The sequence below is a fragment of the Homo sapiens genome, chromosome 12 (assembly GCF_000001405.40).
Source record: "Homo sapiens chromosome 12, GRCh38.p14 Primary Assembly".
Lineage (NCBI taxonomy): Eukaryota > Metazoa > Chordata > Mammalia > Primates > Hominidae > Homo > Homo sapiens.
Genome location: NC_000012.12, coordinates 50897808 through 50917803, shown reverse-complemented (window position 1 = coordinate 50917803; position 19996 = coordinate 50897808). Strand labels below are relative to the sequence as shown.

The 19996-nt window shown below is 44.5% G+C and overlaps 2 annotated features.

The window, feature by feature from the left end:
• Window positions 5151-5351: a silencer, noted in NCBI's record as "peak1732 fragment used in MPRA reporter construct". NCBI's record gives its function as "represses an SCP1 promoter by STARR-seq MPRAs in K562 erythroleukemia cells {active_cell/tissue: K562}" and the evidence as "EXISTENCE:reporter gene assay evidence [ECO:0000049][PMID:32103011]".
• Window positions 15538-16307: a transcriptional cis regulatory region, noted in NCBI's record as "candidate enhancer chr12.1615 targeted for multiplex CRISPR interference". NCBI's record gives its function as "positively regulates LETMD1 gene expression in K562 cells {active_cell/tissue: K562}" and the evidence as "EXISTENCE:mutant phenotype evidence [ECO:0000015][PMID:30612741]".

The window sequence follows — 19996 nt, the reverse complement described above, 5'->3', positions numbered from 1 at the left end:
GGATATCATAAAGAGAGAAGAGCCATTTCAAACCATGAAAAAAGGAAGGAAAAATACCATAGAAAAATCTGGGGGTTTGGGGCCGGGCACTGTGGCTTACACCTGTAATCCCAGCACTTTGGGAGGCCGAGGCAGGCATATCACGAGGTCAGGAGATTGAGACCATCCTGGCTAACACGGTGAAACCCTGTCTCTACTAAAAATACAAAAAATTAGCCTGGCGTGGTGGTGGGCATCTGTAGTCCCAGCTACTCAGGAGACTGACTCAGGAGAATGGCGTGAACCCAGGAGGCGGAGCTTGCAGTGAGCTGAGATGGCACCACTGCATTCCAGCCTGGGCGACAGAGCAAGACTCTGTCTCAAAAAAAAAGTCTGGGGGTTTGGGTGGTAGAACTGGAGGAGCTGATGATGTGAATGTTGGGGGGAAGAAGGGCCAGGGCATCTGGAAGTTGCATTTAAGGGTTCCCCAGGGGGTTGTTTCTTTGACTTTGGGGAATTATCTCCTGCATGCTTGTCTGATATGACTGCTAAAAGAGGAGGGTCAATTATGCAGTGCTGACAAAGATTTGGGTTGCCTCTCAAGGCAAAGAAGGCTTGCACATAGGGGACTTCAGACCATTTGTCCTCCTGCCTGCAGAAAAGGTCTAGTTGCTGGATAGTGTTGAAATGAGTAGCCAGGCGCTGTGGCTTATGCCAGTAATCCCAGCACTTTGGGAGACCAAGGTGGGCAGATCACCTGAGGTCAGGATTTCAAGACCAGCCTGCCCAACAGGGTGAAACCCCGTCTCTACAAAGATACAAAAATTCACTGGGCATGGCAGCGGGCACCAGTAATCCCAGCTATTCGGGAGGCTGAGGCAGGAGAATCACTTGAATCCAGGAGGCAGAGGTTGCCGTGAGCTGAGGTTGCACCATTGCACTCCAGCCTAGGTGACAGAGCAAGACTCTGGTTCAAAAAAAAAAGGCACTTTCCTGAAGAGACCAGGCCTCCCCAAGTTCTGCACTTGGTGAGATGGCCATGCCCAAGTACAAAAGAATATGAGGCACTATTTTTAGAGTCTGAGGGTCAGAGAAATTCCACTGATCCAGGCTGTACTCAAGGGAAGTGCAGGCTAAAGATGGGTTGTTACCCATCTGGAAAGAGAGGGGAGAATGTGTCCCTTAGTCTCCCTCCTCCTTTCAGAGCGACCCAGTGTGGAGAGAAAGATAGAAGGGGTATCCCCCTTCTCTTTCCTCCCATCTCCTCTGGGTCCCAGCGAACATCACAGGTGCCACCCATGGATGCAAGCATGACCTTCACCAATGGATCTGGAGAAGCTAGTCAGCAGGAAGAGTCATGTTTATCTGAGTGAGGCCCTAGCTCTCCACCCTGCTGGTTTCTTAGACCCACTTGGCCTATAAGGCTTCCAGAAGTACCCTAGGGGCCCGGGAGAGATTATGCAGTAGTTGAATTTGGGCAAGACCCTTTAATGGAGTGAGTGGTTTAACCCTACCCTTATATCTCCTTATTACTGCCCAGGCAAAGTAATGAATTCCTAGAGAATGGGACCAATTGACTTTTAAACATAAGATCCCTTCCTTTCTTGGATGCCAACATAGCTGGATGCAGAACAGATGCCTCAAAAGAATGTAAGAATATCTGATGGGGATAGCACTGAGGCTAAAATCTGTCTCACCAGGGTGGCTTCCTCCCACATGTTGAAAGGGGAGTTTTACTATCTACAAATAGGGCATGGGGCCTGAGCACTGAGAGAGGGATATAACAATGAAAGGAATTGGGGAACTAGAGATTTTGGGCAAAGAACTGACAAGACTCCCCATGAAAAATCCCATCCCATTTGGTGGTGTTGTAGGGTTTGAAATGTTAGGTAAAAACTCTGACTCCAAATTCTTTTTAGGCAGAGGTTAGAAAGAGAGGTCTGGGTCTTAATAGGCTACCCCCATAGTATGCCACCCAGCAGAAGAAAATTCGTTTGTCAATGCTGAGCTCTTAGAAAACCCAAATGGAGAGGAGGGTGTTTACTTAGGGTGGAATATCCTCCCATATAGTGCTATGAATGCCTATCACTGGGGGTCAAAAAGGCCCTCACTAGGTGAAAGTTTAGACTGAAATCTTGAAATCCCCCCATCTCAAGGAAATCAGAGAAGCAGCAATTTTTAAAGTTACATTCCTGGTTACTAAGGCACTCACTAACTTTACCCAAGAAGATTATCTGCCTAGGCTGTAAAAACTCCCTTAACATAGCATACAAAGAAAGGATAGGAGACATGATAGCCACGAAAAAGAAAGGAAGAAAATGCTATAGAAAAGTCTGGAAGTCCTGGTGTGGACACCATTGATGGGCTCTCAGAAGCTGAAGTTATTCTAGGGGCTCTTCAGGTAACACCAAGGAGTAGCCTCAGCCAGAAACCCTCAGTTGCCCCAGGACCTCCTTCTAGCCCCATGCGATGGCTAGGTCCTCTGTGAAAGGAAACTAGATTAGAACAGAGCCAACATTCCCACCACCTGATGGCAATGCAGGATTGACTCTCCAGCAAACCTGTCCCCTGAGTCTTGTAAGGCTGACAGCCACTCTAAAATCTTTTAACTGGCTGGCAGGGGCCCAGTGTCTTGTTTGGTCTTCAGGGGGAAAAAAAAAAAAAAAAAAAAAAAAAACTGAGAAGCAGCTTCAGAAATGAAAGTAAAGAGTTTGGAGGTGGCAGGGCATGGTGGCTCACGCCTGTAATCCTAGCACTTTGGGAGGCTGAGGCGGGCGGATCATGAGGTCAGGAGATTGAGACCATTGTGGCTAACACGGTGAAACCCTGTCTCTACTAGATATACAAAAAATTAGCCAGGCGAGGTGGGAGGTGCCTGTAGTCCCAGCTACCCAGGAGGCTGAGGCAGGAGAATGGTGTGAACCTGGGAGGCAGAGTTTGCAGTGAACTGAGATGGTGCCACTGCACTCCAGCCTGGGCAACAGAGCAAGATTCTGTCTCAAAAAAAAAAAAAAAAAGTTTGGAGATCTGCTCCTACTCACCCTTCTGATATCTCCCAGTCAAGGAACCAAAATGTTACAGTCTTGCCGGTGCATCACAATGTCCCTGAGGTAGTACCTAGAGTCCTTTGTCTCACCACCAAGAAAGTTAAGGAGTGCAGACACCAAGGGTGAGGTTGGAGCAAAAGTTTAATAAGAGAAAGAAGAAAGCTCTGTGCTGTGGAGAGGGGACCTGGAAGAGGGTTGCCATTTTTACAGTTAAATGCAAAGGCTTTTATGGGAAAGCACAATCATAGCTCACTGCAGCCTCAATCTCCCAGGCTCAAGCAATTCTACTGCCCTAGTCTCTCCTGAGTAGATAAGACTATGGGCACATATACCATCATGCCTAGCTAAATTTTTTAAAATTCACTTTTTTTCTTTGACTTTTGACAATTTATAGTGTGTGTTGGTATAATTTTTTTTTTTGGAGACAGAATCTCACTCTGTCACCCAGGCTGGAGTGCAATGGAGTGATCTCAGCTCACTGCAACCTCTGCTTCTTGGGTTCAAGTGATTCTCATGTCTCAGCCTCCCAAGTAGCTGAGACCACAGGTGCTTGCCACCATGTGCAGCTAATTTTTTGTATTTTTAGTAGAGATGAGGTTTCACCATGCTGGCCAGGCTGGTCTTAAACTCCTGACCTTATGATCTGCCCACCTTGGACTCCCAAAGTGTTGGGATTACAGGCATGAGCCACCTTACCTGGCATAGACCTCTTTTAATTGAACCTTTTTGGGAAGCTTTGGCTTCCTGTATCTAGATGTCCATTTCTCCCTAAATTTGGGAAGTTTTCAGCCATTATTTCTTTAAGTAGACTTTCTACCATTTTCTCTATCTCTTCTCCTGGTACCTCTATAATTTGTATATTGGTTCACTTGATAGCCAAATGTTTCATAGACTTTCTTCACTCTTTTGTTTTTTTATTTCTTTTTCCTCTGATTGTTTAATTTCAAATGACTTGTCTTAGGGTTCATAGGTTCTTCTGCTTGTTTGAGTCTGCTGTTGAAGATCTCTATTACATTTTTCTTCAGCTATAGGTTTTCTTTTTTTGTTTTTATTTCTTTGTTGAACGTCTTATTTTCTCCATGTATTTTCCTTATTTTGTTTAGTTGTCTATCTCTGTTTTCTTGTAGTTCACTGAACTTGTTTAAGAGGATTATTCTGAATTCTTTGTCAGCCATTTCATAGATCTCCATTTCTTTAGGGTTAGTGATTGGAGCTTTATTAGTTTACTCTGGGTGGTGTCATGTTTCCCTGATTCTTTGTGATTCTTATGTCCTTGTGTTGCTGTCTGTGTTTTTGAGGAAGTAGTCACCTCTTCTGCCTTTACAGGTTAGCTTTGGCAGGGAAAGACTTTTTCAGTAAGTCCAGCCTGGGGTTCTGGATGAGTCAGTTGGTAGCATCTGCAGGTACTTGTAAGAGACAGGACTAGCTGGATTTTCTAGGCCAACTAAGAATCCCTAGGCCTAGCTGGGAAGGTGATCACATCCACCTTTAAACAGGGGGCTTGCAACTTAACTCACACCCGACCAATCACGTAGTAAAGAGAGCTCACTAAAAAGCTAATTAGGCAAAAACAGGAGGTAAAGAAATAGCCAATTTTCTGTTGCCTGACAGCACAGCGGGAGGGACAATGATCGGGATATAAACCCAGGCATTCAAGCCGGCAATGACTACCCTCTTTGGGTTACTGTTGTGGGAAGTCAGGGACCCTGAACAGAGGGACCGGCTGAAGCCAAGGCAGAGGAACATAAATTGTGAAGATTTCATTTAAATATGGACATTTATTAGTTCCCAAATAATACTTTTATAATTTCTTATGCCTGTAATCTCTTAATCCTATTATCTTCGTAAGCTGAGGATGTAGGTCACCTCAGGACCACTGTGATAATTGTGTTAACTGTACAAATTGATTGTAGAACATGTGTGTTTGAACAATATGAAATCAGTGCACCTTGAAAAAGAACAGAGTGGCAGCAATTTTTAGGGAACAAGGGAAGACAACCATAGGGTCTGATTGCCTGTGGGGTTGGGCAAAAATAGCCATATTTTTCTTCTTGTAGAGAGCCTATAAATGGACGTGCAAGTAGGGAAGACATTGCTAAATTATTTTCCTAGCAAGGAATATTAATATTAATACCCTGGGAAACGAATGCATTCCTGGGGGGGAGGTCTATAAACGGCTGCTCTGGGAATGTCTGTCTTATGCAGTTGAGATAAGGACTGAGATACGCCCTGGTCTCCTGCAGTACCCTCAGGCTTACTAGGGTGGGGAAAAACCCTGTCCTGGTAATTTGTGGTCAGACTGGTTCTCTGCTCTTGAACCCTGTTTTCTGTTGTTTAATATGTTTATCAAGACAATACGTACACTGCTGAACATAGACCCTTATCAGTAGTTCTAACTGGGGGCGGGTTCCCCTGATAGGTCCCCTCCCTTTGTATGGGAGCTCTGTTTTCACTCTGTTAAATCTTGCAACTGCACTCTCTTCTGATCTGTGTTTCTTATGGCTCAAGCTGAGCTTTCGCTCTCCGTCCATCACTGCTGTTTTCCACCATCACAGACCCACTGCTGACTTCCATCCCTCTGGATCTGGCAGGGTGTCCACTGTGCTCCTGATCCAGCCAGGTGCCCATTGCCATTTCCGATCGGGCTAAAGGCTCACCATTGTTCCTGCACGGCTAAGTGCCCTTTAGCCTGGGTGCATCCTAATTGAGCTGAACACTAGTCACTGGGTTCCACGGTTCTCTTCCATGACCCACGGCTTCTAATAGAGCTATAACACTCACCACATGGCCCAAGATTCCATTCCTTGGAATCCGTGAGGCGAAAACCCCAGGTCAGAGAACACAAGGCTTGCCACCATCTTGGAAGTGGCCTGCTGCCATTTTGGAAGCAGCCCACCACCATCTTGGGAGCTCTGGGAGAAAGGACCCACCACTAACATTTGGTGACCACGAAGGGACCTCCAAAGCAGTGAGTAATATTGGACCACTTTCGCTTGCTATTCTGTCCTGTCTTTCCTTAGAATTGGCGGAAAATACCGGGCACCTGTCGGCCAGTTAAAAACGATTAGCATGGCTGTCAGACTTAAGACTCAGGTGTGAGGCTGTCTGGGGAAGGACTTTCTAACAACACCCAACCCTTCTGGGTTGGGAGCATTCATCTGCCTAGAACCAGCTTCTGCTTTCAATTTTCTTGGGGAAGCCGAGGGCTGACTAGAGACAGAAAGCTGTCATTCCAAACTCCCAGCATTAGCCGATTGAGATCATGGCACAGCCAGAAGTCTCTGTTCAACAGTCACCCATGCATGCCCCCGTACCTTTTCTTCTGACCCATACCTCCTGGGTCCCAACCACGACTTTCTTGAAAGTGTAGCCCCAAAATTCTCGTTACCTCTGAATCTACTTCCTCTGATCCCTGCCTCCTAGGTACCAATGGTTCAGACTTGCATTTCCTCTAGCAAGTTGTATCTCCAAAGGGATCTAAGAAAGCTCTATGCTGTGTCCTTAGGCATCTAGGCTATAAACCCAGGAAGTCTTATCCCTGGTGTCCCTCCCGATTTAGGTATACAGTTCTCGACATGGGCAGTTATGTGGGACCCTTTCCCCACCACCCTTGCCAGGGACCCAAGTTTGTAATGGCTAAGAGGAGGAGAGAGGGACGGAGGAGTGAAGAGAGAGATGGAGGGGAGAGAGAGAGAGAGAGAGACAGAGGAGAGAGAGAGAAAGAGTCAAAGAGAAAAAGAGAAAGATAGAAATAGTAAAACAAAACAAAACAACAACAACAACAGTATGCCCTATTCCTTTAAAAGCCAGGGTAAATTTAAAACCTATAATTGATAATTGAAGGTCTTCCCTATAACACTCCAATACTACCTTGTTGTCAGTGTAAACAAGGGCATAGCCTGAAAACACTGAGACCACTGACAACCCGTAGCTTTCCTATCAAAAATCCTTAACCCAGTAACCCGTGGATGCATTCAATCTGTAGCGGCAACTGCTTTGCTAACAGAAGAAAGTAGAAAAGTAACTTTTAAAGGAAACCTCATTGTGAGCACACCTCACCAGTTCAGAATTATTCTAAGTCAAAAAAGCAAAAAGGTAGCTTACTAACTAAAAAATCGTAAAGTATGGGTCTATTCTGTTAGAAAAAGGTAATTTAACACCAACGGCTGATAATTCCCTTAACCCAGCAGATTTCCTAACAGGGGATTTAAATCTTAATTACCATACAAAGGTCCGGCCAGACCTAGGAGGAACTCCCTTCAGGACAGGATGATAGAAGTTTCCTCCCAGGTGATTGAGGGAAAAACCACAATGGGTATTCAGTAATTGATAGGGAGACTCTTTTGGAAGCAGAGTTAGAAAAATTGCCTAATAATTGGTCTCCTCAAAAGTGCGAGCTGTTTGCTCCCAGACAAGCCTTAAAGTACTTACAGAATCAAAAAAGACTATCAATATCCTGACTCAAAAGCTTACCTACACCCTCTCTAAATGAATTTGCATAAGAACTGTTGTTTATGAGAATGCATCTTGATGGGGCAGCTGGGTTGTTATGAAATACTCAGGAACCCAGCCCAGCTCTAGGACTCACCCCTGAGCACAAAGGCAATGTTGGGCATGCTGCTAGAATCCAGCAGCCTGGACCCCTTTCTTTGTGGTCAAGAAAGGCGGGAAAAGGGGTGCAGGACTGCTACATTGGTGAGCATAACTAATCCAATAAGCAGAGGTCCATGGGTGGTTACACACCCTGGAAAGGAATAAGCGTTAGGACCATAGAGGACGCTCTAGGACTAACGGTCATCGGAAAATGACTAGGGGTGCCGGCGTCCCTATGTTCTTTTTTCAAATGGGAACTGTTCCCCCAAGGCAAAAACGCCCCTAAGATGTATTCTGGAGAATTGGGACCAATTTGACACTCAGACGCTAGGAAAGAAATGACTTATATTCTTCTGCAGTACTGCCTGGCCACGATATCCTCTTCAAGGTGGAGAAACCTGGCCTCCTGAGGGAAGTATAAATTATAACACTATCTTACAACTAGACCTCTTTTGTAGAAAAGAAGGCAAATGGAGTGAAGTGCCATATGTACAAACTTTCTTTTCATTAAGAGGCAACTCGCAATTATGTAAAAAGTGTGATTTATGCCCTACAGGAAGCCCTCAGAGTCTACCTCCCTACCCCAGCTTCCCCCCGACTCCCTCCCCAACTAATAAGGACCCCCCTTCAACCCAAACTGTCCAAAAGGAGATAGACAAAGGGGTAAACAATGAACCAAAGAATGCCAGTATCCCCGATTATGCCCCCTCCAAGCAGTGGGAGGAGGAGAATTCGGCCCAGCCAGAGTTCATGTACCTTTTTCTCTCTCAGACTTAAAGCAAATTAAAATAGACCTAGATAAATTCTCAGATAACCCTGATGGCTATATTGATGTTTTACAAGGGTTAGGACAATCCTTTGATCTGACATGGAGAAATATAATGTTACTGCTAAATCAGACACTAACCCCAAATGAGAGAAGTGCCACCATAACTGCAGCCCGAGAGTTTGGCGATCTCTGGTATCTCAGTCAGGTCAATGATAGGATTGCAGCAGAGAAAAGAGAAAAATTCCTCACAGGCCAGCAGGCAGTTCCCAGTGTAGGCTCTCATTGGGACACAGAATCAGAACATGGAGATTGGTGCTGCAGACATTTGCTAACTTGCATGCTAGAAGGACTAAGGAAAACTAGAAAGAAGCCTATGAATTATTCAATGATGTCCACTATAACACAGGGAAAGGAAGAAAATCCTACTGCCTTTCTGGAGAGACTAAGGGAGGCATTGAGGAAGCATACCTCCCTGTCACTTGACTCTATTGAAGGCCAACTAATTTTAAAGGATACGTTTATCACTCAGTCAGCTGCAGATATTAGAAAAAAACTTCAAAAGTCCACCTTAGGCCCAGAGCAAAACTTAGAAACCCTATTGAACTTGGCAACCTCGGTTTTTTATAATAGAGATCAGGAGGAGCAGACGGAATGGGACAAATGGGATAAAAAAAAAAGAAAAGGCCACAGCTTTAGTCATGGCTCTCAGGCAAGTGGACTTTGGAACCTCTGCAAAAGGGAAAAGCTGGGCAAATCGAATGCCTAATAGGGCTTGCTTCCAGTGTGGTCTACAAGGACACTTTAAAAAAGATTGTCCAAGTAGAAATAAGCCGCCTGGTCGTCCATGCCCCTTATGTCAAGGGAATCACTGGAAGGTCCACTGCCCCAGGGGATGAAGGTCCTCTGAGTCAGAAGCCACTAACCAGATGATCCAGCAGCAGGACTGAGGGTGCCCAGGGCAAGCGCCAGCCCATGCCATCACCCTCACAGAACCCCGGGTATGCCTAACCATTGAGGGCCAGGAGGTTAACTGTCTCCTGGACACTGGCGCGGCCTTCTCAGTCTTACTCTCCTGTCCTGGACAACTGTCCTTCACATCTGTCACCATCCAAGGGGTCTTAGGACAGCCAGTCACTAGATACTTCTCCCAGCCACTAAGATGTGACTGGGGAACTTTACTCTTTTCATGTGCTTTTCTAATTATGCCTGAGAGCCTCACTCCCTTGTTAGGGAGAGACATTCAAGCAAAAGTGGGGGCCATTATACACCTGAACATAGGAGAAGGAACACCCGTTTGTTGTCCTCTGCTTGAGGAAGGAATTAATCCTGAAGTCTGGACAACAGAAGGACAATATGGATGAGCAAAGAATGCCCATCCCGTTCAAGTTAAACTAAAGGATTCTGCCTCCTTTCCCTACCAAAGGCAGTACCCCCTCAGACCCAAGGCCAAACAAAGACTCCAGAAGATTGTTAAGGACCTAAAAGCCCAAGGCCTAGTAAAACCATGCAGTAGCCCCTGCAATACTCCAATTTTAGGAGTACAGAAACCCAATGGACAGTGAAGGTTAGTGCAAAATCTCAGGATTTTCAGTGAGGTTGTTGTTCCTCTAGACCCAGCTGTACCTAACCCTTATACTCTGCTTTCCCAAATACCAGAGGAAGCAGAGTGGTTTACAGTCCTGGACCCTAAGGATGCCTTTTTCTGCATCCCTGTACATCCTGACTCTCAATTCTTGTTTGCCTTTAGAGATCCTTCGAACCTAACGTCTCAACTCCCCTGGACTGTTTTACCCCAAGAGTTCAGGGATAGCCCCCATCTATTTGGCCAGGCATTAGCCCAAGACTTGAGCCAATTCTCATACCTGGACACCCTTGTCCTTCAGTACATGGATGATTTACTTTTAGCCACCCGTTCAGAAACCGTGTGCCATCAAGCCACCCAAGAGCTCTTAAATTTTCTTGCTACCAATGGCTACATGGTTTCCAAAACAAAGTCTCAGCTCTGCTCACAGCAGGTTAAATACTTAGGGCTAAAATTATCCAAAGGCAACAGAGCCCTCAGTGAGGAATGTATCTAGCCTATACTGGCTTATCCTCATCCCAAAACCCTAAAGCAACTAACAGGGTTCCTTGGCATAACAGGTTTCTGCCAAATATGGATGTCCAGGCATGGCAAAATAGCCAGACCAATATATACACTAATTAAGGAAACTCAGAAAGCCAATACCTATTTAGTAAGATGGACACCTGAAGCAGAAGTGGCTTTCCAGGCCCTAAAGAAGGCCCTAACCCAAGTCCCAGTGTTAAGCTTGCCAATGGGGCAAGAATTTTCTTTATATGTCACAGAAAAACAGGAATAGCTCTAGGAGTCCTTACACAGGTCCGAGGGATGAGCTTGCAACCCGTGGCATACCTGAGTAAGGAAATTGATGTAGTGGCAAAGGTTGTCCTCATTGTTTATGGGTAGTGACGGCAGCAGCAGTCTTAGTATCTGAAGCAGTTAAAATGATACAGGGAAGAGATCTTACTGTGTGGACATCTCATGATATGAACGGCATACTCACTGCTAAAGGAGACTTGTGGCTGTCAGACAACGATTTACTTAAATATCAGGCTCTGTTACTTGAAGGGCCAGTGCTGCGACTGTGCACTTGTGCAACTCTTAACTGAGCCACATGTCTTCCAGACAATGAAGAAAAGATAGAACATAACTGTCAACAAGTAATTGCTCAAACCTGTGCTGCTCGAGGGGACCTTTTAGAGGTTCCCTTGACTGATCCCAACCTCAACTTGTATAGTGGTGGAAGTTCCTTTTGTAGAAAAAGGACTTCAAAAAGCAGGGTATGCAGTGGTCAGTGATAATGGAATACTTGAAAGTAATCCCCTCACTCCAGGAACTAGTGCTCAGTGCTGGCAGAACTAATAGCCCTCACTCGGGCACTAGAATTAGGAGAAGGAAAAAGGGTAAATATATATACAGACTGTAAGTATGCTTACCTAGTCCTCCACGCCCACGCAGCAATATGGAGAGAAAGGAAATTCCTAACTTCCGAGGGAACACCTATAAAACATCAGGAAGCCATTAGGAGATTATTATTGGCTGTACAGAAACCTAAAGAGGTGGCAGTCTTACACTGCCGGGGTCATCAGAAAGGAAAGGAAAGGGAAATAGAAGGGAACTGCCAAGCAGATATTGAAGCCAAAAGAGCCGCAAGGCAGGACCCTCCATTAGAAATGCTTATAGAAGGACCCCTAGTATGGGGTAATCCCCTCCAGGAAACCAAGCCCCAGTACTCAGAAGAAGAAATAGAATGGGGAACCTCATGAGGACATAGTTTCCTCCCCTCAGGATGGCTAGCCACCAAAGAAGGAAAAATACTTTTTTGCCTACAGCTAACCAATGGATATTACTTAAAATCCTTCACCAAACCTTTCACTTAGGCATTGATAGCACCATTAAGATGGCCAAATCATTATTTACTGGAGCAGGCCTTGTCAAAACTATCAAGCAGATAGTCAGGGCCTGTGAAGTGTGCCAAAGAAATAATCCCCTGCCTTATTGCTAAGCTCCTTCAGGAGAACAAAGAACAGGCCATTACCCAGGAGAAGGCTGGCAACTAGATTTTACCCACATGCCCAAATCTCAGGGATTTCAGTATCTACTAGTTTGGGTAGATACTTTCACTGGTTGGACAGAGGCCTTCCCCTGTAAGACAGAAAAGTTCCAAGAGGTAATAAAGGCACTAGTTCATGAAATAATTCCCAGATTCGGACTTCCCTGAGGCTTACGGAGTGACAATGGCCCTGCTTTCAAGGCTGCAGTAACCCAGGTAGTATCCCAGGCATTAGGCATACGATATCACTTACACTGCGCCTGGAGGCCACAGTCCTCAGGGAAGGTCAAGAAAATGGATGAAACACTCAAATGATATCTAAAAAAGCTAACCCAGGAAACCCACCTCGCATGGCCTGCTCTGTTGCCTATAGCCTTACTAAGAATCCAAAACTCTCCCCAAAAAGCGGGACTTAGCCCATACGAAATGCTGTATGGACGGCCTTCCTAACCAATAACCTTGTGCTCGACCGAGAGATGGCCAACTTAGTTGCAGACGTCACCTGCTTAGCCAAATATCAACAAGTTCTTAAAACATTACAAGGAGCCTGTCCCCGAGAAGAGGGAAAGGAATTATTCCACCCTGGTGACATGCTATTAGCCAAGTCCCTTCCCTTTAATTCCCCATCCCTAGATACATCCTGGGATGGACCCTACCCAGTCATTTTATCTACCCCAACCTCGGTTAAAGTGGCTGGAGTGGAGTCTTGGATACCTCACACTCGAGCCAAATCCTGGATACTGCCAAAGGAACCGAAAAATCCAGGAGACAACGCTAGCTATTCCTGTGAACATCTAGAGGATCTGTGCCTGCTCTTCGAGCAACAACCATGAGGAAAGTAACTAAAATCATAAATCACCATGGCCCTCCCTTATCATATTTTTCTCTTTACTGTTCTCTTACCCCCTTTTACTTTCACTGCACCCCCTCCATGTTGCTGTACGACCAGTAGCTCCCCTTACCAACAGTTTCTATGGAGAATGTGGCTTCCCGGAAATATTGATGCTCCATCGTATAGGACTTTATCTAAGGGAACCCCCATCTTTACTGCCCACACCCATATGCCCCACAACTGCTATAACTCTGCCACTCTTTGCATGCCTGCAAATACTCATTATTGGACAGGGAAAATGATTAATCCTAGTTGTCCTGGAGGTCTTGGAGCCACTGTCTGTTGGACTTACTTCACCCATACCAGTATGTCTGATGGGGGTGGAGTTCAAGATCAAGCAAGAGAAAAACACATAAAGGAAGTAATCTCCCAACTGGCCCGGGTACATAGCACCCCTAGCCCCTACAAAGGATTATATTCTCTCAAAACTACATGAAAACCTCCGTACCCATACTCGCCTGGTAAGTCTATTTAATACAGCCCTCACTGGGCTCCATGAGGTCTCAGCCCAAAACCCTACTAACAGTTGGATGTGCCTCCCCCTGCACTTCAGGCCATACATTTCAACCCCTGTACCTGAACAGTGGAACAACTTCAGCACAGAAATAATCACCACTTCCGTTTTAGTAGGACCTCTTGCTTCCAATGTGGAAATAATCCATACCTCAAACCTCACCTGTGTAAAATTTAGCAACACTATAGACACAACCAACTCCCAATGCATCAGGTGGGTAACTCCTCCCACACGAATAGTCTGCCTACCTTCAGGAATATTTTTTGTCTGTGGTACTTCAGCCTATCATTGTTTGAATAGCTTTTCAGTATCTATGTGCTTCCTCTCATTCTTAGTGCCCCCTATGACCATCTACACTGAATGAGATTTATACAATCATGTTGTACCTAAGCCCCGCAACAAAAGAGTTCCCATTCTTCCTTTTGTTATTGGAGCAGGAGTGTTAGCTGGACTAGGTACTGGCATTGGCGGTATCACAACCTCTACTCAGTTCTACTACCAACTATCTCAAGAACTAAATGGTGACATGGAATGGGTTGCCAACTCCCTGGTCACCTTGCAAGATCAACTTAACTCCCTAGCAGCAGTAGGCCTTCAAAATCGAAGAGATTTAGACTTGCTAACCACCAAAAGAGGGGGAACCTGTTTATTTTTAGGGGAACAATGCTGTTATTATGTTAATCAATCTGGAATCATCACCGAGGAAGTTAAAGTAATTCAAGATCGAATACAACATAGAGCAGAGGAGCTTCAAAACACTGGACCCTGGGGCCTCTTCAGCCAATGAACACTGTGGATTCTCCCCTTCTTAGGACCTCTAGCAGCTATAATATTGTCACTCCTCTTTGGACACTGTAACTTTAACCTCCTTGTTAAGTTTGTCTCTTCCAGAATTGAAGCTGTAAAGCTACAAATGGTTCTTCAAATTGAGCCTCAGATGCAGTCCATGACTAAAATCTGCCGCGGACCCCTGGACCAGCCTGCTAGCCCATGGTCCGATGTTAATGACATCAAGGGCACCCCTCCTGAGGAAATCTCAACTGCACAACCCCTACTATGCCCCAGTTCAGCAGGAAGCAGTTAGAGTGGTCATTGGCCAACCTCCCCAACAGCACTTGGGTTTTCCTGTTGAGAGGGGGATCTGAGACACAGGATTAGCTGGATTTTCTAGGCCGACTAAGAATCCCTAAGCCTAGCTGGGAAGGTGATCACATCCACCTTTAAACATGGGGCTTGCAACTTAGCTCACACCCGACCAATCAGGTAGTAAAGACAGCTCAGTAAAAGCTAGTTTGGCAAAAACAGGAGGTAAAGAAATAGCCAATCGTCTATTGCCTGAGAGCACAGTGGGAGGGACAATGATCAGGATATAAACCCAGGCATTCGAGCCGGCAATGGCTTACCCGCTTTGGGTCCCCTCCCTTTGTATGGGAGCTCTGTTTTCACTCTATTAAATCTTGCAACTGCAATCTCTTCTGGTCCGTGTTATGGCTCTAGCTGAGCTTTCGCTCGCCATCCACCACTGCTGTTTGCCGCTGTTGCAGACCCGCCACTGACTTCCATTCCTCTGGGTCCGGCAGGGTGTCCGCTGTGCTCCTGATCCAGCCAGGCACCCATTGCTGCTCCGGATCGGGCTAAAGGCTTGCCATTGTTCCTGCACGGCGAAGTGCCTGGGTTCATCCTAATCGAGCTGAATACCAGTCAGTGGGTTCCACGGTTCTCTTCCATGACCCATGGCTTCTAATAGAGCTATAACACTCACCGCATGGCCCAAGATTCCATTCCTTGGAATCTGTGAGGCCAAGAACCCCAGGTCAGAGAACACGAGGCTTGCCACCATCTTGGAAGTGGCCCACCACCATCTTGGAAGTGGCCTGCCACCATCTTGGGAGCTCTGGGAGCAAGGAACTGCCAGTAGCACTTGGGACTTGCTACTGGGGTTGCTGGTTGGACAAGGATGTTGCCCATTCTCTGAGGTCATATGGGGCAACTATCTGGGCTCCATCATTGCCTCTAGTCTGGTGGGATCACAGGTTGCATTTTCCAGCAGGAGTGATGCTGCTAGTTGGACTCTGCAATTGGGCAAGGCTGCCAACTGGGCTCTGTAGTTCGATGGGGTCACTGGCTGGGTTCCCCACCTGGGTGGAGTTGCTGACTTTGTTCCACTATGGATCTGAATTGCTGACCAAGCTTCAGGTTGGGTGGGGTCTCAGGATGTACCTCGCAGAGGGTTTGGTTGCAAGATGGACTCTGCAATTGGACATGGTTGTTAACTGTGCTATCTGGTAGGGTAGGGTTGCTGGTCAGGCTCCCTGTTTGGGTGGGGCTGCTGACCTGGCCCTGCCGTTGGGTGGGACAGCAAGCTGAGCTCCATGATCAGGCAGGGCCATTGGCTATCCTCTATGGTGGGGCGTGACCTCAGGCTGTGGTGCACAGTGAGACAGGGTCTCTGGCTGGGCTTCTTAATCATGCAGGGCCACAAGATGTGTTCTACAGTCAGGTGGGGGCCACAGATTGAGCTCTGCAGCTGAGCTAGACCTCTGGCTAGAGACCTCAGGTTGGCAGAATTGCTGACTCTGCTCCCTAGCCAGATGGGGCTGCTAGATCAGCTGCGCAGGTGGGTGGAGCTGCTGTCTGGGCTTAATGTTCATGTAAGGTCACCAGAAGGGCGTCACTCCACTTCTTTGTTCCTACCTGACCCCAGGTAGTTTAGCCCTATTAATATCCACAGTGTTTCCCATGAGACAAGGCAGAAGTGGTCCTCCTGGGAAGTACCTCTGAACACTTTGGAAGCTGGATGTCTGCCTCGGGCTCTCTTTTGCTCCTCGGAGAAACTGTAGACCCAGGGGATACCTCTTGGTATGGTGCTGTGCTTTTCCAGCAGAGAGGTGATATGATGGAAGTAAAATGGCTTTCTTACCACATTGTAAAATGTGGCTTTTCTTAGTTTTTGTGTTACCAGAGGGGGATTAAGTCTCACCCCCAGGTTCTGGGATTTGTACAGAGATTTTTTTTTTTTTTTTTTAAGACAGGATCTTGCTCTGTCACCCAGGCTGGAGTGCAATGGTACGATTGTGGTTCATTGCAGTCTCGATCTCCCAGGTTCAGGCAATCCTCCCACTTCAGCCTCCTGAGTATTTGGGACCATAGGCACACATCACCACACCTGACTAATTAATTTTTTTTTTTTTTTGTAGAGACGAGGTCTTGCTACTTTGCCCAGGATGCTCACTGCTCACAGAGGTGTTCTTGAACATGGCTATTTAGATATTTGCTAATTACTTTTTCTGCAAGGGGGACTAGAGCTGGGGACCTCCTATTCTGCCACCTTGCTTATGTTGCTGAGCAGCTATAACTTAATTTGAATCCAGTGTTTAGTGATCAAAACCAACAAGTTTCTTTGAATGCATGAATTCAGTGATGATTATTTGTTAATGTACTGAAATCACTGTATTTCAGAAGTATTTACTACACATTTCCTATTTTTAGTTCTTAAAAGAGCTAAGGGTTTCAGAAAGAGCCTGTATTTAAAAAAAAAAAAAAAAGCTGAGGCTTATTTGAACTGTTTAATCTAATCTTTGCTTAGCTCTATGGCTCTTCTGCCCATCTTCTCTGTTTATTTGGCCAAAGTGATAAGTGTCTGTCACAACTGTTGTGTTTTCCAGAAAACCAGAAATATATTGTTATTTCATACTTATATTTGTAACTTGAATTTCACCATCTAGATATAATTTTAACATGTCGATTCCTCTAGATTGAATGGTGTTGAGCATGTTTTTGTGTGCTTTTGACCAGTTGTATATCTTTTTTGTGCAATATCTATTTAAATATTTCATCCATCTTTTCTTTTCTTTTTTAAATTTAAATTTAATTTAATTTGTTTTAGAGATAAGGTCTTACATTGTTGCCCAGGCCTGGAGTACAGTGTCACAGTCTTGGCTCTCTGAAGCTTCAACCTCCTGGACTCAAGTGATCTTCCTGCCTCAGCCTCCGGAGTAGCTGGAACTACAGGTGTGTACCACCACACCTGGCTAACTTTAAACATTTTTTTGTAGAGATGAGGTCTCACTATGTTGCTCAAGCTGGTCTCAGATTCCTAGCTTCAAGAATCTTCTTACCTCAGTCTCCCAAAGTGCTGGGATTACAGATGTGAGCCATAGTGCCTGGGCTTTTTGTGTATTTCTTAATTGGGTTGTCTCTGTATTATTAGGTGGAAAGTGTTCTTTACCTATTTTATATATATGTTATTTATGAGATACATATAAAGATGTGTATATGTGTATACATGTGTGTTTATGTATATATAGATGATATTTACTCCTAGTACATGGCTTGCCTTTTCATTTTCTTTCGATGAAGGCCAAATTATAATTTTTTTCTTTGGGTTCAGAATTTTTTTTTTTTGGTTTAAGAAATCTCTGTGTATTTCAGGGTTGCAGTTTCTCCTGTATTTTCTTTTATAAGTTGTATACTTTTAGCTTTTTTGTTTAGGTTTGTGATTCACTTATTCACTTCAAGATTTTGTTTTATTTTGTTTTGAGACAGAGTCTCGCTGGGTCGCCCAGGCCGGAGTACAGTGGCGTGATCTTGGCTCACTGCAACCTCCGCCTGCCAGGTCAAGCAATTCTGCCTCAGCCTCCCAGGTAGCTGGGATTACAGGTGCACACTACCACACCTGGCTAATTTTTGTATTTCTAATATAGACAGGGTTTCACCATGTTGACCAGGCTGGTCTTGAACTCCTGACCTCAAGTGATCCACCCACCTCGGCCTCCCAAAATGTTGGGATTACAGGCGTGAGCCACTGCGCCTGGCCTAGTGCAAGTTATTTCTTACATAGGGTGTGAGTTAAAGGGCAAGGCTAATATTTTCCCTTACAGATATCTATTTGTTCTAGCACAAATTTGTTGAAAGAACTGTCCTTTCCTTATTGAATTATCTTGGCACTTTTGTTCACAATCAATTGATCATATATCTGTGGGTTCATTTCTGGGATTTCTATTCTGTCTTATTGATCTTTAAGTCTGTCTGTATGCCAGTGCCACACTGTTTTGATTATTATAACTTTAGAGCAAATCTTGAAATCAGATACTTTAAGTTCTCCAACTTTATTCTTCTTTCTCCAAATCATTCTGGGTATTCAAGGTACTTTGCATGTTTATACAAATTCTAGAGATAGCTTCTTACTCTTTGCAAAAAACCTGCTGGGATTTTGATTGTGATTGCATTGAATCTATAGATCAGTATGGAGAGCTCTGAATAACAGCCTTTCAATCCATAAATATGGTATATCTTTGTATTTATTTACATCTTCTTTAGTTTTTCTTAGCAAGTTCTACGAGTTTCTATTGTAGCTTTCAGTTGGTAAGTTTTGTACATATTTTGTGAAATTTATTACTAATTCATATTTTTAGTGCTATGGTAAACAGAATTTAAAGTATAATTTCTATTTGTTTATGGCTAGTAAAGGTTCAGTGTTCTTTATTTGAAATGCTTGGGACCAGAAGTGTTTTGGATTTTAGATTTTTTTTTTTTTAAGATTTTGGAATATTTGATATACATACCAGTCAAGCATCCCCAATCTGACAATCCAAAATCTGAAATATTCTAATGAGCATTCCCTTTGAGTGTGACCTTTGATCATCGTGTTGACCCTTAAAAAGTTTCAGGTATTAGGGCATTTTGGATTTAGATTTTCAGATGAGAGATGCTCAACCTTTATATATTGATGTTTGTATATTGATGCTGTATCCCTTGACTTTGTTACATTCATTTATAATATTAATTTTAGTAGCTTTTTTGTAGATTCCTTAGAATTTTTTATGCAAATGATCATGCTATCTGTTAAAGACTGTTTTACTTCTTCGTTTCCAGTATGTATGCCTGGTATTTAATTTTCTTGCCTTATTGCTCTGCATAAGATCTCTAGTCACCATTGAATAGAAGTAGTGAGAGCAAATCTACTTGCCTTGTTCCTGATCTTAGAAGGATAATCTGCTTTTTTACTATTAAGCACGAGGTTAACTTTAGGGTTTATTTATATTTTTATTTTGAGACAGAGTCTTGCTCTGATGCCCAGGCTGGAGTGCAGTGGTGCAATCTTGGCTCACTACAACCTTTGCCTCCCGAGTTCAAGGAGTTCTCCTGCCTCTGCATCCCAGGCAGCTGGGACTACAGGTACCCGCCACCACACCCAGCTAATTTTTGTACTTTTAGTAGAGATGGGGTTTTACCATGTTGGCCAGGCTGGTCTCAAACTCCTGACTTCAGGTGATCCACTGCCTCGGCCTCGGCCTCCCAGAGTGCTGGGATTACAGGCATGAGCCACTGTGCCCAGCCTACAGTTATTTTATAGATATCCTTTATCAGTATGAGTAATTTCCCTTCTATTCCTATTTTCTCATAGTTTTTATAATGAATGGGTATTTGAATTTTATGTAAAATTTTTCTGCATTTATTGGAATGATCACATTTTCTCCATCTATTCTCTTATTGTAATGATTGATTTTTTAAATTGAGGCAAAATTTACATACCATAAAATTAATCCTATTTACAAAGCATACAATTCAGTGGTAGTTGTGTATTCA